The sequence below is a fragment of the Homo sapiens genome, chromosome 9 (assembly GCF_000001405.40).
Source record: "Homo sapiens chromosome 9, GRCh38.p14 Primary Assembly".
Lineage (NCBI taxonomy): Eukaryota > Metazoa > Chordata > Mammalia > Primates > Hominidae > Homo > Homo sapiens.
Window position 1 is genome coordinate 133,834,052 of NC_000009.12, and position 22,121 is coordinate 133,856,172.

The 22,121-nt window shown below is 56.7% G+C and overlaps 1 protein-coding gene across 9 annotated transcripts in view, besides 9 other annotated features; it reads right to left on the reverse strand.

Annotated features, from left to right (window-relative positions):
* The window catches only part of VAV2 (vav guanine nucleotide exchange factor 2), a 230,431-nt gene that overhangs the window by 72,158 nt on the left and 136,152 nt on the right, over positions 1 to 22,121 (reverse strand). For all 9 annotated transcript variants that reach the window (NM_003371.4, NM_001411028.1, XM_017015109.2 and 6 more), the window contains exon 4: positions 221 to 289. In NM_003371.4, the coding sequence (NP_003362.2) occupies positions 221 to 289 (69 nt within the window). The remainder of the gene's footprint in view (positions 1 to 220; positions 290 to 22,121) is intronic.
* Positions 3 to 825: an enhancer, noted in NCBI's record as "H3K27ac-H3K4me1 hESC enhancer chr9:136699176-136699998 (GRCh37/hg19 assembly coordinates)". NCBI's record gives its function as "activates a minimal SCP1, AML or CMV promoter by ChIP-STARR-seq in primed H9 embryonic stem cells {active_cell/tissue: H9 hESC(primed)}" and the evidence as "EXISTENCE:reporter gene assay evidence [ECO:0000049][PMID:30033119]".
* Positions 5,473 to 6,423: an enhancer, noted in NCBI's record as "H3K27ac-H3K4me1 hESC enhancer chr9:136704646-136705596 (GRCh37/hg19 assembly coordinates)". NCBI's record gives its function as "activates a minimal SCP1, AML or CMV promoter by ChIP-STARR-seq in primed H9 embryonic stem cells {active_cell/tissue: H9 hESC(primed)}" and the evidence as "EXISTENCE:reporter gene assay evidence [ECO:0000049][PMID:30033119]".
* Positions 9,996 to 10,290: a silencer, noted in NCBI's record as "tiled region #14277; K562 Repressive non-DNase unmatched - State 20:ReprD". NCBI's record gives its function as "represses a minimal TATA promoter and a strong SV40 promoter by Sharpr-MPRA in K562 cells {active_cell/tissue: K562}" and the evidence as "EXISTENCE:reporter gene assay evidence [ECO:0000049][PMID:27701403]".
* Positions 11,387 to 11,466: an enhancer, noted in NCBI's record as "active region_29254". NCBI's record gives its function as "activates an Ori minimal core promoter by ATAC-STARR-seq in GM12878 lymphoblastoid cells {active_cell/tissue: GM12878}" and the evidence as "EXISTENCE:reporter gene assay evidence [ECO:0000049][PMID:35858748]".
* Positions 14,862 to 15,844: an enhancer, noted in NCBI's record as "H3K4me1 hESC enhancer chr9:136714035-136715017 (GRCh37/hg19 assembly coordinates)". NCBI's record gives its function as "activates a minimal SCP1, AML or CMV promoter by ChIP-STARR-seq in naive H9 embryonic stem cells {active_cell/tissue: H9 hESC(naive)}" and the evidence as "EXISTENCE:reporter gene assay evidence [ECO:0000049][PMID:30033119]".
* Positions 15,845 to 16,826: an enhancer, noted in NCBI's record as "H3K4me1 hESC enhancer chr9:136715018-136715999 (GRCh37/hg19 assembly coordinates)". NCBI's record gives its function as "activates a minimal SCP1, AML or CMV promoter by ChIP-STARR-seq in primed H9 embryonic stem cells {active_cell/tissue: H9 hESC(primed)}" and the evidence as "EXISTENCE:reporter gene assay evidence [ECO:0000049][PMID:30033119]".
* Positions 18,606 to 19,135: an enhancer, noted in NCBI's record as "H3K4me1 hESC enhancer chr9:136717779-136718308 (GRCh37/hg19 assembly coordinates)". NCBI's record gives its function as "activates a minimal SCP1, AML or CMV promoter by ChIP-STARR-seq in naive H9 embryonic stem cells {active_cell/tissue: H9 hESC(naive)}" and the evidence as "EXISTENCE:reporter gene assay evidence [ECO:0000049][PMID:30033119]".
* Positions 19,865 to 20,365: an enhancer, noted in NCBI's record as "H3K4me1 hESC enhancer chr9:136719038-136719538 (GRCh37/hg19 assembly coordinates)". NCBI's record gives its function as "activates a minimal SCP1, AML or CMV promoter by ChIP-STARR-seq in primed H9 embryonic stem cells {active_cell/tissue: H9 hESC(primed)}" and the evidence as "EXISTENCE:reporter gene assay evidence [ECO:0000049][PMID:30033119]".
* Positions 20,366 to 20,866: an enhancer, noted in NCBI's record as "H3K4me1 hESC enhancer chr9:136719539-136720039 (GRCh37/hg19 assembly coordinates)". NCBI's record gives its function as "activates a minimal SCP1, AML or CMV promoter by ChIP-STARR-seq in primed H9 embryonic stem cells {active_cell/tissue: H9 hESC(primed)}" and the evidence as "EXISTENCE:reporter gene assay evidence [ECO:0000049][PMID:30033119]".

The following is a 22,121-nucleotide window of genomic DNA, read 5'->3' on the forward strand; positions in this document are numbered from 1 at the left end:
GAAGATCTGCTCATGTCTGAGGTCTCTCAGATGCATGCCTTCCCACTCAGCACGGAAGCCCACACCATGACCCATCATGAGGAGATGCCCCGGTGGGAAGGGCCAGGGCCAGCTCTGCCTGCACTGTGGCCGCCATGTTTCCTCCTGACTCCCTGGACACCACCAGGAACCTCCCTGCCCCTCCCTCCTCTCCATCCCTCCTCCCATCCCCCCGCCTTACTCGGCCAGCTCCTCCAGGCTGCGGTAGACGTCATCGTCATTCTCTGTGGTCTCCTCTGAGGGAAAAGGCCTGCGGAAGAGAAGGCGAGAGGGAGGTGAGCAGGTCCCGGCACTGCCGGCCAGTGGGACCCCAGCTGGACCCCACAGCAGAGCCCAGTGTGGCCCAGCCAGGAGCAAAGGGGCTCTTGTCCACTCTCTGGAAGGACACAGGGTGCGCGGACACTGATCGGAGTCACAGGACGAGCCAACTGGGCCATAGGGCAAGAGGAGACCCATGCCTACTTGCCAGGGGGCAAGGAATGTGTCACGCCCACTCCGGGCTCCGGGTGTCCAGTGGGAAGACGAGAGGCCCAGGTCAGGGCTGCAGAAAGCGTTCATCTGCTGGGCGACCTGCCTTCCCCTTTACCCACCCTCCCACTTCCAGGGGGTTCACAGTGGAGATGAGGCTCCTCGCACACCTCCTGGTGGGCAGGTGGGAGGGCTGCCAGCTCAGTCCACGCAGGAGAGGAAGCAGGAGGGGACTCCGGAAGGGAGGGGTGACTTCTGAGGCACTGAGGGTAGGGGCTCACCCACGCCACCCACCAGCCACTGGCTTGAGGTCAGGAAGAGAGTCCCGAAAATGAAAAGCCCTCGGACCTTCCGCCTGGATCCACAGCCTCCCCTCCTACAAAGGGAGCAGAAGCCCCATGGGGTCTCCCCAGAAGGAACGCGGCGGTGCTCCCCCACACTCCGCCCTCCAGATGCCCCAACCCTGGTGCCTTTCTGCAGTTCACGATGGTATAGAAATATATATATATATATAACACATAAACTTTAATCATCTGGGCTCTTCTTGAGTCTCATTTTTGTGGAACTGTCATGCATATGTACATAATTATAATTGTTTTTCTCCTGCTCATCTGTCTTATGTCAATTTAATTCATAAACCAGCTCAAGAACCTGGAGGGGTGGAAGGAAGCGCTTTTTCCTCCCCCAGGACCCAAAACATCACTCTGCTCCATCCTCTGCAGACAGACAGATGGGTGTGGCCCCGAGTCTACAGGCCTCCCTGCATAAGGCGAGCCCAGGCCAGCACAGGCCAACCACTCAGAGCTGAAATGTCAGGTCAGCCTCAGGAAGCGGGGAGAGGCGGAAGGGAGGGAGGGGTGGGGAGGGAGGAGAGGCAGGAGAGGCAGATCAAACACCCAGAAGAGGGGGCTGCAGCTGGCTCAACGCTATGGGCCAAATCCACTCATCTCTAGAGGAGACACGAAAGGCCCCTTAATTAAACCAAACAGCCCCCTGTAGCCCCAGGGTGCGTGTTCTGGTAGGAAACCTGTCACTAAGGATGGGACGGGAGATCCCAGCTGGAGGGGCTGCCCGGGCCCAGATGCCAGCTGGGATTGCTTCCTTGCCTGGGGTCAGGCTGACATTTGCTCAGCCCGAGATCCAGCAGGGACGCGCGGTCCGTCCCGGCAGCCCCGCCCCAACCGGAGGCCGGGGACCTGTGCTCCTGCGGGAGGGCAGGGGGGAGTCCGCTGATCTGTGAGCTGGAAACCTGGGTCCTACCTGGCTCTGTCACAGACCTGCAGGGACTGGGCCATTGGTCAGCGTGCCCCTGTGGCTTCCTGGTAAAAGCCCGTGTCCAAGGGCGCAGCACGGCCAGGCCTGACCTCTGCATGGGTGAGCTCAGCTCTCTCCTCCCAGCCACTCTCCCTCCTTCCACCCATCACCATACAGCAGCATCCCCCAGTTGAGGTGTGTGTCCCTGGGTCACAGGCAGAGCTGAGGCTGCCACGACATCCTCACCATCAGGGCTCCGTTGCTGAGACAGTGCCATTTACGGCCAAGAAGCCCCTCAAGGAATCCATCTCCTCCCATGATATGCAGAGCCCCATGCCGACACAGATCCCGCCCAGGTGATGGGGGTGGGGCTGAGGAGCCACAACCTGGAGGGGACTGGCCCACACGCAGGTGACCCCAGAAAGCACAGGAGCACGTGGGGGGCCAGGAGCCAGGGAGGCTCTGCCAGGCTGAGATGTGACTTCAGGACCCAGAGATGGAGGCTTGAAACCCCGCTGCCAGGACCAGCCCTGGGCTGTCCCCGCTCCCGCACCAGCCCCTCGCTTACATGCAGCCATCCCTGTCTCCAACCTCGTCAGTCATTTCTGCTTTTTCTAAATTTTCAGTGATGATTGGTATGACTTCCATAATAAAGAAAAATAGAATCAAAATTCTCATTATGAAAATGTGTCCTCATCAAAAGTAAAAAAATTTTAAACCCCACTCATCTCCTATAAAAGTATGTTACATATAAAATGACATCATGGCAAAGTATTAATGTGCTTTCTCACGTAGAATGTAGAGAGGGAAGAGAAAATACCAAACTCCTGAGGTTGTGATCTTGTTCAAATCTGATCACAGAGTGTGGGCGACAGTTTAGGGAAACAGGGCATCCCATCGAACCCTGGATTATCAACAGGACGGCCATTCGGGGACTGTACTTCTAGAACCCGCCCTGCTAAGCCGATCAAGAGATGCATTCACACTTTGTAAGGAAACCCACCCTAATGGTGAGTGAGCACACACGCGTGCCTCTCACTCTTCCTGTGCCCAGGCAGACATCACTCACCAATCAAAGCTCTCCTATCCCTGAAGCCCAGCGCAGGGTTCTTAACACAGGGCTCTACTCCTCCATCAGTCCTGGGACTCAGACAGAACCCACCTGCCCTGCCAGGAGAGCTGAGCCCGGGGCAGCGAAGGAGAGGAAAGGCTTTGGAGTTGGGCAAACCCAGGTGTGAACCCTAGGCCCACAGCCTGCTCCCTGTGACTTTGGACAACCTACTTAACCTCTCTGAGTGTCAGCCTTCTCCTCCTGGAAAATGGAAGTAATAGTGCCTTCTCAGAGGTCTGCTGGGAAGAGCAGCTGTAGGATAGCAGAATGCTCTGTACTTAGGGGGGCCCAACAGTGGCAGCTGCGATTTAGTATTTCTAGTATCATTCTCACTCAGGGCACTTTCCACTGCCCAAGAAAACTGCCTTCTGATGCCTCGTTAGGGCCTAAGAGCCCCACTCGCCATGATGATTTTGGAATCTTGTTTCCTAACACAGAAAGTGAGTGCCCACTAAAATAAGGCACAACAGTCATTTCAAAACCTTTTGTCGGCCAGGCGCGGTGGCTCACACCTGTAATCCCAGGACTTTGGGAGGCCCGAGGCGGGCGGATCACCTGAGGTCAGAAGTTCGAGACCAACCTGACCAATACGGTGAAACCCCGTCTCTACTAAAAATACAAAAAAATTAGCCGGGCGCGGTGGTGGGCGCCTGTAATCCCAGCTACTCGGGAAGCTGAGGCAGGAGAATTGCTTGAACCCGGGAGGCGGAGGTTGCTGTGAGCCAAGATCGTGCCATTTCACTCCAGCCTGGGTCACAGAGTGAGACTCCATCTCAAAAAAAATAAATTAAAAAAAAAAAAAAAACCTTTTTAAAAACCTGACCTTGAGCTATGATTGTCGTAATTTTCCCTTTCCTGCATCTCATTTGGTGTCTTGTTCAACCCCTACTGTCATTTCCTTTACCTGCCCAACCCAGAGGAGATAAAGCAGGAATGTTAAAGTCCAAAGAATTATACTGCTGCCCGTAAAATCTTTACTACTTTTATTCTAAGATCCCTATTTGAGGCCACAAATCCCCTTGAGAATGGAGCTGCAAATCCAATTAATTTCTGCCACAGCCCAACAAAAGCTCTGCCAGAAGGGGAAGAGCAGGAGAGGGAGGCAGCCTGTCAGGGACCGTGCACGGCCTCAGCGCCTGGCCGCTGGCGCAGGAATATGCAGGAGAATAGAGGAGGCTTCACCAGGCCCCAGTCCCCTTTCACTCCGCTCCCCCCACAGCCCTCCATGCCCATGCTACCTCTGGCCTTTGTACCTGCTCTGCTCTCTGCCTTTAGTCCCCCACCCTCCCACCATTCACCCAAGTGCTAGCATCCTTCAGGGCTGAATCCAAGCCCTACTGCATGTGGGAAGACTTGATCAGTCTCTCAGCTTGGGTCTGCCTCTGCCTAGCACAGTGCCTGGCGCTAGAAAGGCATGGATGAGTACATGGATGGATGAGTAGGTGGAGGATAGATGGCGGGGGGTGGATGGTTGGCTGGCTGGCTGAGTGGGTGCATGGATGTGTGGATGGATGAATGGATGGGTGGGTAAGTAGGTGGGTGGGTGGGTGGGTGGATGGGTGGATGGATGGATGGGTGGGTAAGTGGGTGGGTGGGTGGGTAGATGGATGGATGCATGCATGCATGCATGGGTGGGCGGGTGGGTGGGTGGCTAGATGGATGAATGGGTGGGTGGATGGATGGATGTATGGGTGTATGGGTAAGTGGGTAGGTGAATGTATAGATGGATGGATGGGTGGATGGAAGGACGAATGGATGGCTGAGTGGCTAGCTGGGTGGGTGGGTGGATTGATGGATGGGTGGGTGGATGAATGGGTGGGTGGATGAATGGATGGGTGGATGGAGGGATAAATGGATGGCTGAGTGCATGAGTGGGTGGGTAGATGGATGAATGGATAGGTTGGTGAGTGGGTTGGTGGATGGATGAATGGGTGGGTGGGTGGGTGGATGGATAGATGGGTGGGTGGGTGGATGGATGAATGAATGGATGTATGGATGGGTGGGTGGATGAATGGATGGATGGGGTGGGTGGGTAGGTGGGTGGGTGGATGGATGGATGAATGGATGGATGGGTGGGTAGATGGATGGATGGGTGGGTAGGTGGGTGGATGGATGAAAAGATGCATGAATGGATGGATGGGCGAGTGGTTGGATGAATGGCTAGGTGGGTGCATGGATGGATGGATGGATGGGTAGCTAGATGGGTAAATGGCTGGGTTGGTGGGATGGGTGGATGAGTGGTAGATGGGTGGGTGGGTAAGTAGGTAAGTGGAAGGATAGATAAATGGGTTGTCGGGTGGCTGGATTCATGGGTGCATGGATGCATGTCTGGAAGGACAGATGGATGAGAGAGTAGTTGGACTTTGTGGGCTGACAGACAGATGGATGAGTGGATGGATGAACAAATGAGTGGGTTGGTGGGTGGGATTAGTGGGTGCATGGATAAGTGGACAGAAAGGTGGGTGTCAGATATTCTCAGGCTGCTCTTAATCCCCTGAAATGGCAGCCTCAAATTAGATACGAGGAAGTTTTTTTTTTTTTTTTTGAGACGGAGTCTCACACTGTCACCCGGGCTGGAGTGCAATGGCATGATCTCGGCTCACTGCAACCTCTGCCTCCCGGGTTCAAGTGATTCCCCTGTCTCAGCCTCCAAGTAGCTGGGATTACAGGCGCCCACCCCGACGTCCAGCTAATTTTTTGTATTTTTAGTAGAGACAGGGTTTCACTATGGTGGCCATGCTGGTCTCAAACTCCTGACCTCGTGATCCGCCCGCCTCAGCCTCCCAAAGTGCTGGGATTACAGGCGTGAGCCACCATGCCCAGCCTACACGAGGAGGCATTTTCAAGGAGAGCTTGTAAGAGATCACACAGAGGTATTTAAGTCACCCCTCAGTAGGGACTTTGTAAACACTGACCTCGATTAAACAGTGTGACACACATTTGCACAGAGAATGTCTGAGCAGAGTTCCTGGGGCCACATCCCAGCTGTAACTTAAAGCCCAGTGGGGGTGGGTTGGGTGGAGACTCTGGTCATTTTGCAACAAGGCCTAGCTCCACCCCCCACTCCCCGCCCCCGAGGCCATCTTCAGGCACCAGCTGATTTTCCTTCCCGCACTTACCCCTAGCGTCCCCTACCCACACCTTGCCCTGTGGCGTTGCCTTGCTCGTTAAGAGCAGGGAATGAGAAGCAGAGAAGGCCAACCACAGCCTATCCAGAAGTTGTCCTGAGAGCAGTCATCCTGGCTCCCCAGGGGCGGCTGCATCCCTCTCCTCCCACCAGAGCCTTCCTGAGCATGCATTTCCTCGTGCCCGGCTTCGGGAAGCAGAGTTTCCCACTGCACCGCCGAGGGGACGAAGCAGATGTCCGCACAGGAAGCAGAGAAGCCCCAAGTGCTGAGTGCAGAGAAATCCCCAGCAGAGCCCGCGTTGGGCAGCAGCCCCTCCTCCCAAACGACCCATCCAATCCCACTCCCCAAGCTTCCTCAGCACCCACTCCCCACTCCTGCCCCTGAGCCACTGCTTGCTCAAGGAGCTCCCCCAGCCCCCAACAGGCCTTCCCCATGAGCTCAATTCTGGGCAGGACAATCACAGTCCCAGTGCTACAGCCAAATAAGTCACCAGCCAGAGGACACAGACCAGAAAACAGAACACCCTACAGGGGTGCCCAAACCCAAACCCCGAAGGAAGAGCAGAGGAAACACAGCTCCTGCTTCCAAAGAGCTCCTTCACTCTCCTCCCGTCCTTCCCCGGGGAATTACGGGGCACCTGCGTGGGGCTGGCATGGGCGGCCATTTGTCACTGATTCAGGGAGAAGGAACAGCTTGAATCTCGCTTTGGGATAATAAATCAGGCTCCTATCCTTGCCCTCAGGACTTCTGTGAAAATCTGCTAGAAACGATGGCGTCTGCAGGGCACCACCTGTGCCACTCACTGTGCCTACAGCTGCATGGTGGCCCCACAGTCCAGAGGGAGGGGCACATTGGACGCGCAGGGGTCTCCAAGCTGAGGGTAGCAAGCACAGGTCTGTCAGTGCAGACCCTCAGGATCTCAGCTAGAGGGACGACAGCTTGGGTTTGCTTTCTTGGAGGGCCCTGAGGAGCCGGCAGCCAGATTTGGTTTTTAAGACAAAGACCAGAGTAGCAAAGAGAGGACCCTAAACACAGCTGCCCTCCTTCCCAGGCAGGTAGCAGGTGCCTGGGTTCTAGGGGACGAGCCCGGACAGCTCACGCCTTACTGTGCTTCCATGAGGACTGTGGGGCCTCAAACGTGGGGTTCAATGGGGAGCACGACCGCTTGTTGGTGCTGATCTAAGATTTCACAACAGCAGCAGCTACAGGGAGAGAAGGCTGGGCCCCCACACCACCACCGCCCCAGGATCTGGCCAAGTGCTTCAAAACCATCTCGGATGCAGCACTGGGCCTGGTGACCCCATGTGGCAGCGAACTCCTCTGCATATTGAGTGGACTCCAGGGCTCCATCATGCAGAGCTCGTGGCCACTCCTGCAGCCCTGGAGTCCTGGCCCTGTTTCCCTGGGGACAACCACCACCTCAGAGCAGGGAAGCCCCTCTTGCCTCTTAAAGAGTGAATCCACCCAGCAGGTATGCAGCTCGTCCTGGAGTGAGTGTCCACAAACAGCCCTGCCCAGGGCCAACATGCAGCTCCCAGGCTCCGTCCCCAAACACCCAGAGATAACATCAGGGAGAAGCCACAGAACAGACCCCAGCACCTCAACTGTGCTCACTGGAGGGGAGACCTTGTGGGGAGAGCTAAGAGCAAGGCTTCTGCAGGTAATGGGTCTGGGTTCAAGCCCTGGCTCTGCCTGTCTCTGAGCCTCAGTTTCCCCAACTGCAGAATGGGGGCCGGTAGTAGCAATTGCTAAGACCAAGGGAGATGGTGCATAAGCCTCCTAGTGAGCATCCTGCATGTGCCAGCGTGGGTCTCTCCCCTTCCGCTTTCCACCAGCTCAGCCTGAGCCCACTCTGCCTCCAGAGCCAGCCGCAGTGGGACCAATTCCTGGATCACAATTGGAAAAGCGCCCCTCCCCACAGATGGTCCACCCGGCCCTGCCATGGCTCAGGCAGGGCACCCCACTGAGCACTTCCTCCCACAGTACATCTGAACAAGAACGCAGCCCTCAATGAACATTTGGATTCTGGAAGGTACTGACGATTGCAGAAGGTACAGAAATCAGTGCTTGGCTCATCCAGCCATCATGCACAGAGTCTAGGACAGTTTTTGTTTCCCACACTCTGCTGGCATCTCAGGTGAAGGATCCAGGGCTTGAGACAGTCCCTAATGCCTCCACTTGGCCGGTACAGAAAGAAAGTGGAACCCGACTCACAGAAGAGAAGGCCCCGCACGGTGACTGCCAAGGACCGTGTTCACCAGCAGTGTATCAGGGAGGCTGCTCCACGTGACCCTGGTGCTCCTCGCCCAGCCGGAGCACTCCGAGAGAACAGGCAGAGCCTCGAGTTACATCCTGGAGGGCGGGACTGGCTCACGGCCCTAAGGGAGCGCCCTCGGCCTCTGAGGCCAGGTGCGGCCAGCCCTGACATCTACTGTCCGGGTTTGCCCAGGACAGGGATTTCTTGGGATGCGGGACTTTTGATGCTGTAACTGGGACAAGTTGGCCACCCTAGTCTTGCAGATGGCAGACAACAGTGTTTCCATTTATGGTGCTGACACTATCGGGGGGTGGTGGGGGCCTGGCTAAGCCTCAGTTTCCAATTCTGAAACCAGCTTCAAAATCAGGCTTTGGGAGGGCCAGGTGCTGGCCTGGTACTGGAACACCACCAGGTGCAGTGGCATCTCACCCAGGCGGAGGCCATAGTGAGGAGAAAGAGAACAGCGCGGGCAGAGGGGTGGAGGGGCCATGGGACCCCACGCCCAGGGCATGGGAGCCGGGCCCTAGCCCTTTTGGCACTGTGTGCCGGGGAAACAGCAGCCAGGCAAACTTGAAAGGCACCATCAGGAAGCGCAGCGTGGAGGGCCCGCCAGACCCGTTTAATTATTGAGGGAGTCACCTGGGTGCCGCCTTCTAATTGGCAGGGAGGCCTTGAAGCACCAGGGCTTCGCTTATTAGAAACGGTTCTCCTGCTAAACAGCTCCAACTGTCAAAACAAGCCCAGGGATCACGTTTCTTTCCTCAGCGCGCCATCCCACCCAGCCCAGCAGGGCTATCACAATGGGAGGAGGCCAGGTCGAACCCGGCTTTCCACCCATGGCCACACCCGGCTCGGGGATGGCAGTGTCGGAGATGAGCCTGACACACCCAGCACGAAGGCAGCACAGGGCCGAGGGGTGCAGGGAGCACGCAGAGACAGCTCGGGGTGGCAGGGAGTCTGAACCTGGGGAAACCAGGAAGGGCTTCTCGCAGGTGGCGGCAAGGGAGCTGGTGTGAAGAGTAAAGTCTAATTTTGAGTTCAGAGCTCTGACTTTGTTTGGGTTTTTTTGGTATTTTTTTGTAGAGATGGGGTCTTGCTATACTGTCCAGGCTGGTCTCAAACTCTTGGCCTCACGCGATCCTCCCACCTTGGCCTCCCAGTGTTGGGATTACAGGTGGGAGGCACTGTACCTGGCCCAGAGTTCCAGCTTTGTATAAGACAGGCTAGAGTAGGAACCCTGGCCACAAACTCCTAGCTACAGGCTTGCTAAGGGCCCTACACCCCCTGGCCTCAGCTCACTCACTGTAATATTTGGACAAGCCACCTGCCTCAGATGTGGTATGTGAAGGAAGGAGGGGGAAGGTGATGATGGACATGGGCATGGTTTAGGGGCTGGAGCAGGCAGCCCGGGCAGGGGGTAGATGAAGACTCAAGTGCCAAGTGGGGCAGGAGTCTCACGGGGGTGGAGTCGAGAGTGACCAATGGGCTGGCCCGGTGTGGCCACCAGGGTCTGAAACCAAAGTCAGGATGGAAGTAGGAGGGTCTCTGTCCCATGGAGTGGCGGGTTGGAAGGTGGGGGCACTGAGGCACAACCACTGCCATAGCCCCGGCAGTGACCTTGACATCTGCCATGGCAGGTCCAGCGAGGTGGGGGTGTGGCCAGCTCCAAGGCCACCAGGGGAGATGGTGAATACACCAGAGCCCCAGAGGAGAGACCCCACGTGACCCCCAATCCAGCGAGGCTGTTTCTGCCCCTGTTTCCAGAACCTCGGCAAGGCAGAGGAAGACACGGATCTCACAGGCGGAAAGAAATGCTCGGTCCCCTGCCCCCTCTACTTTGTCTGGGAGAGGAAGGGGCCTGGCGTGGCTGCTGATTACAGAGGAATGTGACTTCTCAGCAGCTGTAAGGCATAATATATATTTTTATTTTCCAACACGCTTCTCGTAAGGGAACCTCGGCTGGCACCGGTTTGGAAGGAAATGGCCAGTGGTCCACAGGGTGTCCTTCCCCGGTGAGCATGCAGAGCCCCCGAAGCTACTCTGCCTTTCACTCCATGCCAGCCCTCTTCCCAGGGAACACCTGCCCAGGCTTGGCAGGAAACCCCCTGGACAAACACTTAGGATTTGTCCATCAGAGAACGGGGCTGAGGGAGGAGGCTCTAGGACAGGGGCGTTGCGGCCCACAGGCCAGCAGGGGCTTTCCAGGGCTGAGGCCTGCACCCCCAGTCCCTGGCACGGCTGCTCCACCCAGCTGCCAGGTCAGGCCTCTGTGCATCTCACTTCTGCAAACCCAAAGCTACACACACTCCCTGCAGACACAGGACAGGGATCAGGATGCTTCCAAACTGGGCACTGATGGGCCAGAGCCCCCAGCTGTCCTCTGGCCTTGGCCTGGGGACCCTCGGCCGAGCTCAGTCATGCTGGGCAGAGAAAGGTGGACAGAGTGACTAATGAGGACTATGGCACAGGAACGCAGACACGACAGGTCTGATTCACGAGGAGGAAACTGAGGCAAGGCTTGGGTCTGCCCAAGCTTCCAGACTCCAGGCCTGCAGGTCAGCACTCTCTGTGCCCGACGGTGCCCATGAGGGCCCCAGACAGCTCCCGGGTTCCTCAGCAGCCCCAACCAGGACAGCTCTGAGATCCTCCTGTGAACATGGAACGCTCTGTCAGCTACTGGAAACACCGTTCCTTTTTTTTACCTCTCCCTGAACACAGCAGTTTCCTTCCCTGGGCCAGTGGAGGTCTGTTGCAGGAGGGCAGCACACAAACGGCTTCCTGAGCTTCCCCCGCTCTCGCGTCTGGCACAGTCGCCGGATCACACAAGCCAGGCTGGGCAGTTTTGGGTGGGCGGACATGGGCCACAGCGGCTTGTCTGCACGTGTGTCCCACCCTGGCCAGAGGCAGAAGCGTGGACGCGCTGGGCCAGGCCGGGGACTGAATCCACGGGCTGGATGGCAGGGGCTCTGGTCTGAGACCCAGGAGGAACAGCCCGCATGGCACGCCCAAGGCAACAAGTTTAAAATGCAGACCTTCCTCCAGCAAACACTCGGAAGCTGGGAGCTGCAGGCAGGATCCCTACTCGGAGAGCTGGGGTGGGAGGGCCAGAATGGGGGGCCGCACTGGGGGTTCTCTGCAACCACCAATCTGCTGTGTCACCTCAGGCGAGATCTCTCTCCTCTCTAGGCTGCCAAGGGGGACTGGGTGACGCAGCAGCTGAAGGCCCTCTTCCCCCTCCCTGCACTTCCTGCCGACTTGTCTGCTGGGAAATGAAGGGTCAGCTGGGTGGCCGAGGCCTTGGCAGTCTCCCTAGTGTGACGGGGCCTCACGTTGGAGGATCGGCTGTGACAGGGACAGCAACCCCAGGGCCTGTCTAGGAGCAGCCACTACCCTTCCATCCCCTGCCCATGGCAGGCATCACTAGTCAATCACAGTATTCTCTCTGAGTCCACTGGGATGGACACACTCCAGGTGGCTGATGGATTTATCAGCCCTGGTGAGACAGGGATGCCAGTCCCAGCAGAGAGCAGGTTTCCAGGAGAGCCCTGGTCAACCCTCCATTGTGGCATCAATTGACCGAGGTGGGGCCAGTCTCAGGAGTCCCAGGACAGCCTGGTCAAGCTGCTCCACAGACACCAGCCTCTGTCCATTGGTGGAGTCTTGGAGCAGGGTTGGGGGCACACCCACCCAGCTGAAAGGGCACAGTGGGGCCCCAATCTTTCCTCTACATTCACAGAGCAGGGGAAAGGGAAGGCCTCACAGGACGGAAGCTGTGCTGAAGCTCCCGATAGCCCCACAAGATGGGGTTCCGTCTCCATCCCAAAGAAGACACTGAGGCCCAGAGAGGTGAAGAAAGCTGCCCAAGGAGGCCAGCCAGAAAGTGGCAGAGGTGGGCTGGGAGCCAGGACCTCACACCACCTGGCCATGCCTCGGAGAGCAGCCCTGGGTCATCGCAAGGGACTGACCACACCAAAGGGCCTGGGTGTCACCCCTGGCACCTCCTGTCGGCACCTCCTGTTGGCTACCAGCCCCGCTCACCCTCTTCCTGCTATCCCGACCCACAACCCTCCGCCACTCCCACCTGGGCGTCCACAGCAGCCCCTCGGTGGCCCTGGCCTCCACTCTGGAGCCCCTTGAGGCCAGGCAGGGCCAGAGGAAGGGTCTGGACAAAATCTCAGAGGCCACTGCCCTGCTGGAACCCCCAGGGCTCCCCTCACACGTTGCTCCCTCCCCTGTCCAGCCCTGTCCCTGGCTGCCCTGGCCCCGGCCGCTCTCTATCCAGGGCCGCCAAGCAGTTCCCCAGGGCTTCTGCCTGGGCCTCCCTGTCCCAGACCTCCCCATGGCCATCAGGGCCCAGCCAGGGCATGGCCTCCTCAGTGAGGCGCACAGACCACTGCATCTGAGGGTTCCCACCTCACCCCATCCCTCTGCTGCCACCCTGAGACCGTGTCCCGGGAACTCTGGGCCTTGGAGGGGCTGCACACAGTAGGTGAACATGACTGGCCGACGGGCGGCAGGGATGAGAGGGAGCGACTTGTCCGCCCCAGTGATCGGGTCACCAGGCCACTGGGCAGGGGCTCCCAGCAAGCGTGAAGATGAGGATGGAGCCCCACTCTCCCACAGTAACCCCGAGGGGATGGGCTTGGCTGGGCTCCTTTGCAGCAGAGAACTGGGCTTTGACCCTGTGGGTGGTGCCAGCCGTGGGCCTGAAGGCGGCCCTGGGTGGGATGGGGCTGGGCGAGGGCCAGCTGTCCAGGCCCCCAACTACCCACCTTGGAGCCTCAGGCCTACAGCCTTAAGTTCCAATCAGAACTGGCCATGCCTCACCTCTGCCTTCCTGGGATACCTGTTCCATCCAAACCCTCCCTGCTCCCAAAATGCCAGATCCCCAACCTGGAGCGACGTGCAGGGTTCCCATCCTGCAGCTGCCCCCTCCCACCAAGTGGGTGCTCAGGGAAGGGAGGATCCAAGAACAAAATTCTCCAAATAGCAGAAAACCCAGGACCCCGCAGCCACCAACCCTAGCCGGGACCTTGCACCGCGCCTCAGCGTGAGCAGCCCCACCTCCGGGAGGGCTGAAACCTCGGTGCTGGACAGGGGTTGAGGCCTGCCTCAGTCTCCCCACCAGCAACCCTAAAGGGGCAGTGGAGCCTCTCCTGTCCCCAGGGTCAGCAGATGACGCATGAGGCTGGTTTTCTCAGCTGTCAGAGGCCAGTCCTACCAAGAACCGAACGGGAAGAGCCCGGACACCCTGGGCCAGGGGCTCCATGCCTAGATGAATACTGGGCCCGGAACCCTGGCCCCCTGACTCCCAGGCAGACCCCACTTGAGGACGTCAGATAAAGTTCCAGCCCCACGCTGCCCAACGGGTTGGCCCTGGGCTACAGGTGACCTCTCTGAGCCTCAACTTCCTCCTCTGCAAAATGGGGGCGAAAATCTCTGACTCCCAGGATCAAGGGGAACATTTAATGAGCTGACGCCTGGGAGGTGCTCAGCCCTGTGCACGCCTGGTCGTGGCTGCTATGATGGTGGGTGGACGGGGCAGCTCCAGAAGGGCCACAGTGACAGATGGGACACAGAGTGGCTTGCCAAAAACCGTGCTGATCACTAACAGGGAGGGAAAGAAGCAAGTCCAAGAGTCCACTTCAACAGCAATGGGTCTCCTCATGTAAAGATCCAAAACAATGGGCCAGACGCGGTAGCTCACGCCTGTAATCCCAGCACTTTGGGAGGCCGAGACGGGCGGATCACGAGGTCAGGAGATCGAGACCATCCTGGCTACCACGGTGAAACCCCGTCTCTACTAAAAATACAAAAAAAAATCAGCTGGGTGTAGTGGCGGGCGCCTGTAGTTCCAGCTACTCGGGAGGCTGAGGCAGGAGAATGGCGTGAACCCAGGAGGCGGAGCTTGCAGTGAGCCGAGATCGCGCCATTGCACTCCAGCCTGGGCGACTGAGTGAGACTCCGTCTCAAAAAAAAAAAAAAAAAAAAAAAAATCCAAAGCAATGAAGATGAAACGAAACAGTATTTGAATTTTGATAAAAGGGTAAACCCCAAATTTAGGATGGTGGTTACTTCCTGGCAGGCGCTGGAGTAGACGCAGCTCCTTTGTGTCCTAAGAGTTAGAAACTTCCAAGTTTCTTGTTCTTGGGTTGACTGGCCAGCTTGTGAGTGTTCAAAGTAATTACAAGTTAAATTAATGCATCAATAAAGATAATAGGGAAAGAGCGGAACAAAAGGCTGGAGAAAGCAACCAGCAAGGGCACCAGATGGCCGATCCCAGGGTTCCTTCCTCTCTTGTCGAAACGCCGCTAAGCGCTGCCTTCAAAACCAGGCCATGTGCTGGCAGGCACGGGCCCCTGGGAACATGCCTCACGTGGAGCCGGGCATCTTTGGGGAAAGAAAGCCATGGGCTGGGGGTGAGGCAGACAGCTCTGGGCCCAGGCAGGCTCCTGCGTCGTTCAGGCTCCCCTGAACTCCTGGCAGCCCATCCCATGGCAGCCTGGCACCGGCTGTGCAGTCACCCAGGCCCGTGTTTGGGTTTGTTTCCACCACAACCTGAATGTATGACCACAGTCCCCCAAGACACCACCATGCCAAGACGTCATCTTCTGTTCCGGGACATTCTTAATGATCTCACGTCTCATCTGCTTATGTATAAATCCCACCACAAAACATGATGTGTCTTTTCTTCTCAGTCTCTGAAAATGAGCCGATAATGTTACCCAGCTGCGCAGATACATTTTTAATGCTGACAGTTGCTGAAGAGGCGGCCTTGGTTTGTTTTGCTTGTTACAGAGTAAAACCATCTTCGCTCCCTAAAGGGAAGGACAGGAGTTGGAAAGGGCTTCACCTCATGCCAATGAGCAGGCACGGGACATTCCTCCCGCCCCGAACGCACCATGCTATTATACTTGGGACAGGGCACTGGGAAGGAGGAGGCCACTGACCCCGAAGGCTCACCCCTCATCCCTGCTACCTGGAGGGGTGTCCTTGAACCCCAAACCTCCCCCACCAGCTGCGGGCCTCCTCCTGGGCCGGGAGTTCTCGTGGATGCCAGGGCTACGTTAAGAAGCACTGGTTAGGGCTCGTGAGGATGCTGGTCCGGCCTCCAGGGAGTGCAGGCCTCCACCCCACAGGCAGGCTAGGCTGAGGAGGCGTGGCTGAGGGACCCCCTCCTGGACCCTGCGTCCCAGAGCTGGCTGTGAAGTGAAACCCATGTCCCTGCTGTGTTTGTGTCCTGGGGCTGCGTAACCAAGCACCATCGAATGGGGGCTTAAAACAACAGAAATTTCTTCTCTCCAGTTCTCCCAGTTCTGGAGGCCAGAAGCCTGAGATCCAGGTGCTGCAGAGCTGTGCTCCCTCTGGAGGCACTGGGGGAGGGTCCTTCCTGCCTCTTCCAGCTCAGGTGGGCTCCATGTGTTTCCTGGCTTATGGCTACATCATTCTAACCTCTGCCTCCCTCTTCACACGATCCTCTCCTCTTCTCCCTGTGTCTCTCCTCTGCGTGGTTCTTATAAGGACACTTGTCATTGGATTTAGGGCCCAACCAGGTAATTCAGGATGATCTCATCTAGAGGACCCTACTTTAATTACATTTGCAAAGACTCCTTTATCCAATACAGTCCCATTCACAAGTTCGGAGGGATACAGCTTTTGGGGAACACCATTCACCCCATACACCCCCTTCTCTCAGGCTTGTCTGGGATCTAGATGGAAAGCCAGGGGACCCGGATGCATGGTCCTCAGGCCTTACTTTGAGAACCACCTCTTGCGGCTGTGCCTCACTGGTTGGGTCCCTCACCACCAGCTCTGCCCATCAGGCCCACATGGGCCTCCATTTGTAGATGAGGGAACAAGCTCAGGGCTAAGGAACCTGGTGAGGGTCACACCAGGAGCAAGGATCCCAGCCGGGCCTCGAACCCAAGTCTCTCAACCTCAGGCCAGGCCCTTAACCCTGAGCCTCCGGGTCTGGGACCCACCACGCCCTACCCTGCTCTGCCCTGACCCAGGTACAGCTGCAGTGTGTTCACCTGCACGTGACCAGTGGCCCGGTGTCCACTCCCCACATGACCAGGCACATCCCAAGGCTGGCCAGCTCCTGCTATGTCCCAGCACCTGGCCCCGGGCCCAGCAGAACAAGGCACCAATAGAATGAGGAACGAATGAGGGAATGAGGGAACAAACAAATAAAGAAACAAATGGACGGCTATGGACTCCTTGGGCTGAGTATCAACATCATGAGACCTCAGGAAAGTGATGCTTTCTGGGCCTCAGTTTCCCCATCTGTAACGGGAGGGAATGAAAGATCCTTCTGGTATGAATGTGCCAGGCTCTAGGAGCTGAACACAGCCTCTGAAATGTGAGCCAGCAGGGCCCCGTGAGCCCACTGGGGTCACCTGGAGACACCTGCCAGGTCCCAGGACTTGCCCTGAATCCCTTTGTCTTCCCATCTCACTGCCCTGATGTGCCTCAGCCCAGGAGGAAGCTCACACCCTCAGGCTCTTCCTCAAACAGAGGGTTCTCTCATCTTGACACAAGTGACATTTGTCCACGAGGATCAGCCAATGGTGGGCAGGGTACCACCCTGCTGTCGACTGGCACACCTAGGATGTCCTCCCCCATCATGGTGCCATGAAGAACAAGCCCAAATTCCAGGCATCTGAGCTGCCCGAGTAGGCCTAGGGCAGGTGTGATGCTCTGGAGCTGAAAACTGGAGCAGACACACAACTGCTGAGGCACATTTTTCTCCAGCATCTTCTAAAACCACTTTCATGGACAGTCATGCCCCTGGGGCTCTGCGGGCTTTAGGGGATTCCTGAGTTCCGCTGCAGATGGTGCCACATGGCCTCCACCACGCACTCAGGAGACAACTTTGCAGCCATGTGTCGCATGGAAAGTCTGGTCACACGACCTCCTTTAACCCTTGCAGCCTTCCAGGTGGGTGCCGGGAGATCCCCATTTGCAGAGGAGGAACCTGAGGCACAGAGTGGCAGCTCCTCCTCCTCCTCCTGACTCTCAGCTTTTGGACCCACTGTGTGCCAGGCACTATACTGAGAACTTTACAGACATCATCTTTTGAATCCTCATAACAATCCAGTAACTCCAAAGGGCCGGTGAGGACACTGAGGTTCAGGGTGTAAGAAATTGATCCAGCATCTCATCAGCACCCGAGTGAACCAAGTCAGCTCATTCATCCACCCACATCATATTGTTCTGTGCCTACTATGTGCCTGGGAGCAGATGGGTCCTAACCTCACAACAGAGGTTGCAGCCTTAATGATTCTAGAGTACCACACTGAGACCAATCGCGTTATATTCATGTGAAATAGGGCAGAGCGAAATGGACAGAAGGGTGGATGGATGGATGGATGGATGGATGGATGGATGAGTGGATAAATGAATGGATGAATAGATGGGTGAATGAATGGGTGGATGGGTATATTGGGTGGATGCATGGATGGGTGGGTAAATAAATGGATGGGTGAATAAATGGATGGATGGATGGATGGATGGATGGATGGATGCACAAATGGGTGGATGGATGGATGGATAGGTGGGTGAATAAATGGATGGATGCATGGATGGATGGATGGATGGGTGGATGGATGGATGGATGGATGGATGGATGGATGGATGGATACATGGATGTATGGATGGAAGGATGGATGAATGGATGGACAGATGGATACATGGATGGATGGATGTGTGGTGGAAGGATGTATGGATGGATGGATGTATGGATGGATGGATAAATGAGTGACAGACGGGCTGATGAGTGGACAGATGGACAAACTGAAGAATGGATGGGTGGATGGGTGGCTTGATGGGTTGTAGGGTGCTTGAATGATGGGTGGGTGGGTAGATGTAGCGATGAGGGGACGGATGGACAGACTGATGAATAGACAGGGAGATGGGTGGCTTGGTGGGTGCGTGGATGGGTTGTAGGGTACCTGGATGGGTGGAAGGATGAAAGAATGGACAGGCAGATGGGTAGATATATACGTGGATAGATGATGAATGAATGGTAGATGGGTAGATAAGTGAGTAGACAGAAGAATAAAAAGAAGGAAGGAAAGAAGGCAGAGCAGAAGGGTGGGGGGAGTGCGGGGATGGGAAGGAGGGAGTGAGAGGAGAAAAGCAATAATAAAATCCATTAGATGAGCCAGAGAAGTATTCTCAGTGGGCAAATTGGCAGCTCAGCAAGTTCATCTGACAATGGCTGTGATGATCCGGGAGTGGAGCAAAGAGAGAAACTCAGCTGCATTTTGTCTTTTAAAGACAGACACAGGCAGATCCCTGCCCCACTGCAGAAGCTCAGGCTGGCTGTTCACGCCCCCCTGCCAGGCTGCCAGCCCTGCTTCTCCTGACCGTCTCCAGCAAGAGGGAGCTCATCTACACCAGCCACGCAGTAAACAGCCAGTTACTGTATTTCTGAACAAATGTGTCTCCTTTACACCATCATCCTCATGGTGGCAGCCGCAAAGAGGACACACCAGTGTTCCCTAGCCCTGCCACTCGGCTAGGGGTGCAGGGTGGGGGCACAGCCCCTGCTGACCCATTGGGCCCCCCCTGCCATTTCTGTGCTACACATAGACTCACCCCAGGTTGCACTGGCCAATGTGCACCATGCACTTCCCGTGTGCCAGGCCCAGAGAGTCACCCGATTCTCTCACTCAGTCCTTATGAAAACCCCACACACAAGATGCCATAGTCACCCTATTCACAGACGACATCCCAGGTCTAGGAGGTGGCAAGACTGGATTCCAGCCGCCAGCCACTCGGCTGTCAGGTAAAAGCCGTGGCAGGCCCAGGACAGCAGGAAGAGGTTCAAAGCCTTCTCCGTGGGGCCAGGTGCACACTCCTGGTGGCCAGTGGGCCAGGTTGTGGCTTTAGCACAGCAAAGGTCAGTGTTCTGCTGCCCCTGCAGATGTGGCCTCCCTCTACCCCAGGGCCACTCATTCCTTCCCAAGTGTGGGTCTCCAGTCAGCAAGCATGGGGAGAGGGTCCTCGGCCAAGAGAGGGTGGAAGGCTTGGTACAGAGCTGCCCCCAGGCTGAGCAGCAGCACTGGACACTAGGCCAGGTCTAGTGCATGGAAAAGGAATCCCTCAGGCACTGGGGAGGCCCTGCCCCAGCGGCCTCTGCTGACGCTTGCTTGTCCCCTCTCTGCACCATGAGTCCCACCCACCAGTGGCAACTCCCACAGGTGTGGCAGGTTCCATCTGACAAGCACCCAAAAGGCTAGAGCGGGGCAGGGAACGGCCAAGCGGAGTCTGCATCACCCTGCACTACAGCCAACCCACACATGCCGCCCCCCTTTGCTGCACCAAAGCGCTTCCCCACCCAGGGCCAGCTCTGTCACTAGCCTTGGCTGCCACATCAGCATTGGCATCCCTAAACCAAAAGAAACCAAGCCAGGCCTGAGTGCCCTGGGCTCTCCCTCCCCATGCCAACACTGCCCAGACAGGACAGCCGAGCACCCTCCCTTCACCTGTCCTCACCATGAGGAGCACCAGCCCTTGAGAACCTGCAACCAAGCCCCAGGGAGGATCCAAAACACTCTGGGTGCCTGCTGCTCCCGCTGGCATGATCCCTACATTCAGACTCAACTGTGGGAGATACTGGGATACAGAATGAGCAAGATCCAGGCCTGCCGGGAGCTCCCAGTGCAGAGATGGGTGTGGGCACATGAGCATATATACACACACGTGTGCACACACACACACCCATCTGCACATACACACACACTCCATGAACCTGCACACCTGCACATACACCCCCATCTGCACATGCACACACATACCCCTTGCACCTGCACACACACACCCCTTGCACCTGCACACACACATCTGCATATGCACACACACCCCATGTACCTGCACACACACAAATCTGCAATGCACACACACACCCATGTGCACCTGCACACATACATGCACTCATCTGCACACACACACGCACATACCCATATGCACACACACACACCCATGTGCACCTGCACACACACCCCCATGTGCACATGTACATACACACACGCGCACACCCATACACACGCACCATCTAACACAGTTTGTTCTGCCTAAACTTGGAGGCCCCAGCCATGGCTGGACGAATGCAAAAGAGGAGCAGTGGTGCGAATGAGGCAGTGACCATGCCAGGCCAGAGAACTGGGGCTGCCCACTGCTACTCCTCACTGAGTTGCCCTTGGCTTGTGCTACTGACCAGGGCAACAGAGGCCTGGGGTGTGGAAGAGGTGCCAGACTGATGGAGCAAGCCAGCTGGTGACTCGAGCCTACCCTTCAGAGAGCTGGCCGCTGTGACCAGAAGCAGGCTGGAGGGGGCCAGACCCCAGCCTCAAAGCCCAGCAATCCAAAGGTGGCCTCTTCTGACCTCCCCTCCCCAGGAAGGAGTTTAATGTCTTCCAATTACTCCCCTCCCACTCCCTATGCAGAGGAGGTTGAATCCATTATTGTAACGAAAGGAAAGAAAAGGAAAAAAAAGACTCTCCAATTAGGCTGGCCCAGGGACTCACATGTCATCCTGTCCCCTCACAGCAGACCCACTGAGGACAGGTGGCCAGGATGTTTGATGTCACCAGGTGGGACAATTAAACCCATCTTGCTGGCGGGATGAGCTGCTAAGCATATAATGACTGCCACCTTCCGTCCCCATCTCCTCTCAGCCCAATTACCTGGAATTAAGCAGGCAACACCAGATGGGAAAAGGGACACCAGCCCAGATGGAAGAAAAAGGGACACCAGCCCGGATGGAAGAGAGTGGAGAGAGCAGGGGATGCTGTGCCCAAGAGAGAAGGCTACAGGAGCCACAGCAATGTCTTCAAACACAGCAAAGACTCAGGGGAGAAGAGGCCGGGACTCGTGGGGCAGGACAAGGTGTTGGCGTGCGGACCCTTCACCTTGGCTCACAGTGTGCAGAGAGGATAGCACATTCGTTCACGGAGGTGTGGGAACTGCAGAGTCTGCCAAGGCCCATTCACGGAGCCTCCGGCTGAGATGTCTCACATGAGAGGTATTTGGTACCTTGTAGGTGATTTGGGAAGGCAAAACCAGGTTTGGGAGTGGAAGTCAAGGACGCAGCCCTCACCACTGCACAAACAGACTTTCTCATTATCAGGGCCAGCCAGCAAGGCACGGGGTTCCAGTGCTCTCCCGGCCACTGCAGGAGCAGAGGCTAAAAGGAAAGAACTCAGCAAGAGGCTGTCTCTGCAAGCTGCCTCCGTATCCCGGGAGGGCACCCGGCCTCTCCCTGCACGAGCCGCATCTTAGGTCTCGTTGCCCAGTGCTCCGGGATAAAGCCTGCCACCCGCCACCAGCTCCCCCCGCACATGGGAAGACCAAAAGGTGGGTCCTTGAAGCCATAAGGAAATGCGAGGTCACTGCTTCCAGTTCCTAATGCTTTGTCGTGCTTAGATTCAATACGGGTATGTCTGATATTCTGAGAATTCACTTCAAATTGAAGCAGGAAGTTCCAGCTTACTTCCATTTCTCTCACTCCAACCTCAGCCTGACCCCTGTCCCCTGCCTTGCAGCCGTCACAGCAATGCTAGTCACAGGAGCCAAAAGGTGGAAACAGGCCAGAGTTCATCACGTGATAAACGGATACGCAAAATATGGCCTAGCCACACACTGGAATGTTCCACGGCCATAAAGAGGAATGACGCAATGACCGGCTACGGCTGGGTGAACCTTGAAAACAAGATGCGGGGTGGGAGAAGCCACGTGCGAAAGGCACGCACCGTATGATTCCATGGACATGAAACATCCAGAACAGGCAAACAGAAAGCAGGCTGGGGGCTGCCTGAGGCTGGGGAGGGCGGTGACTGCTCATGGCGACCGGTTTCTT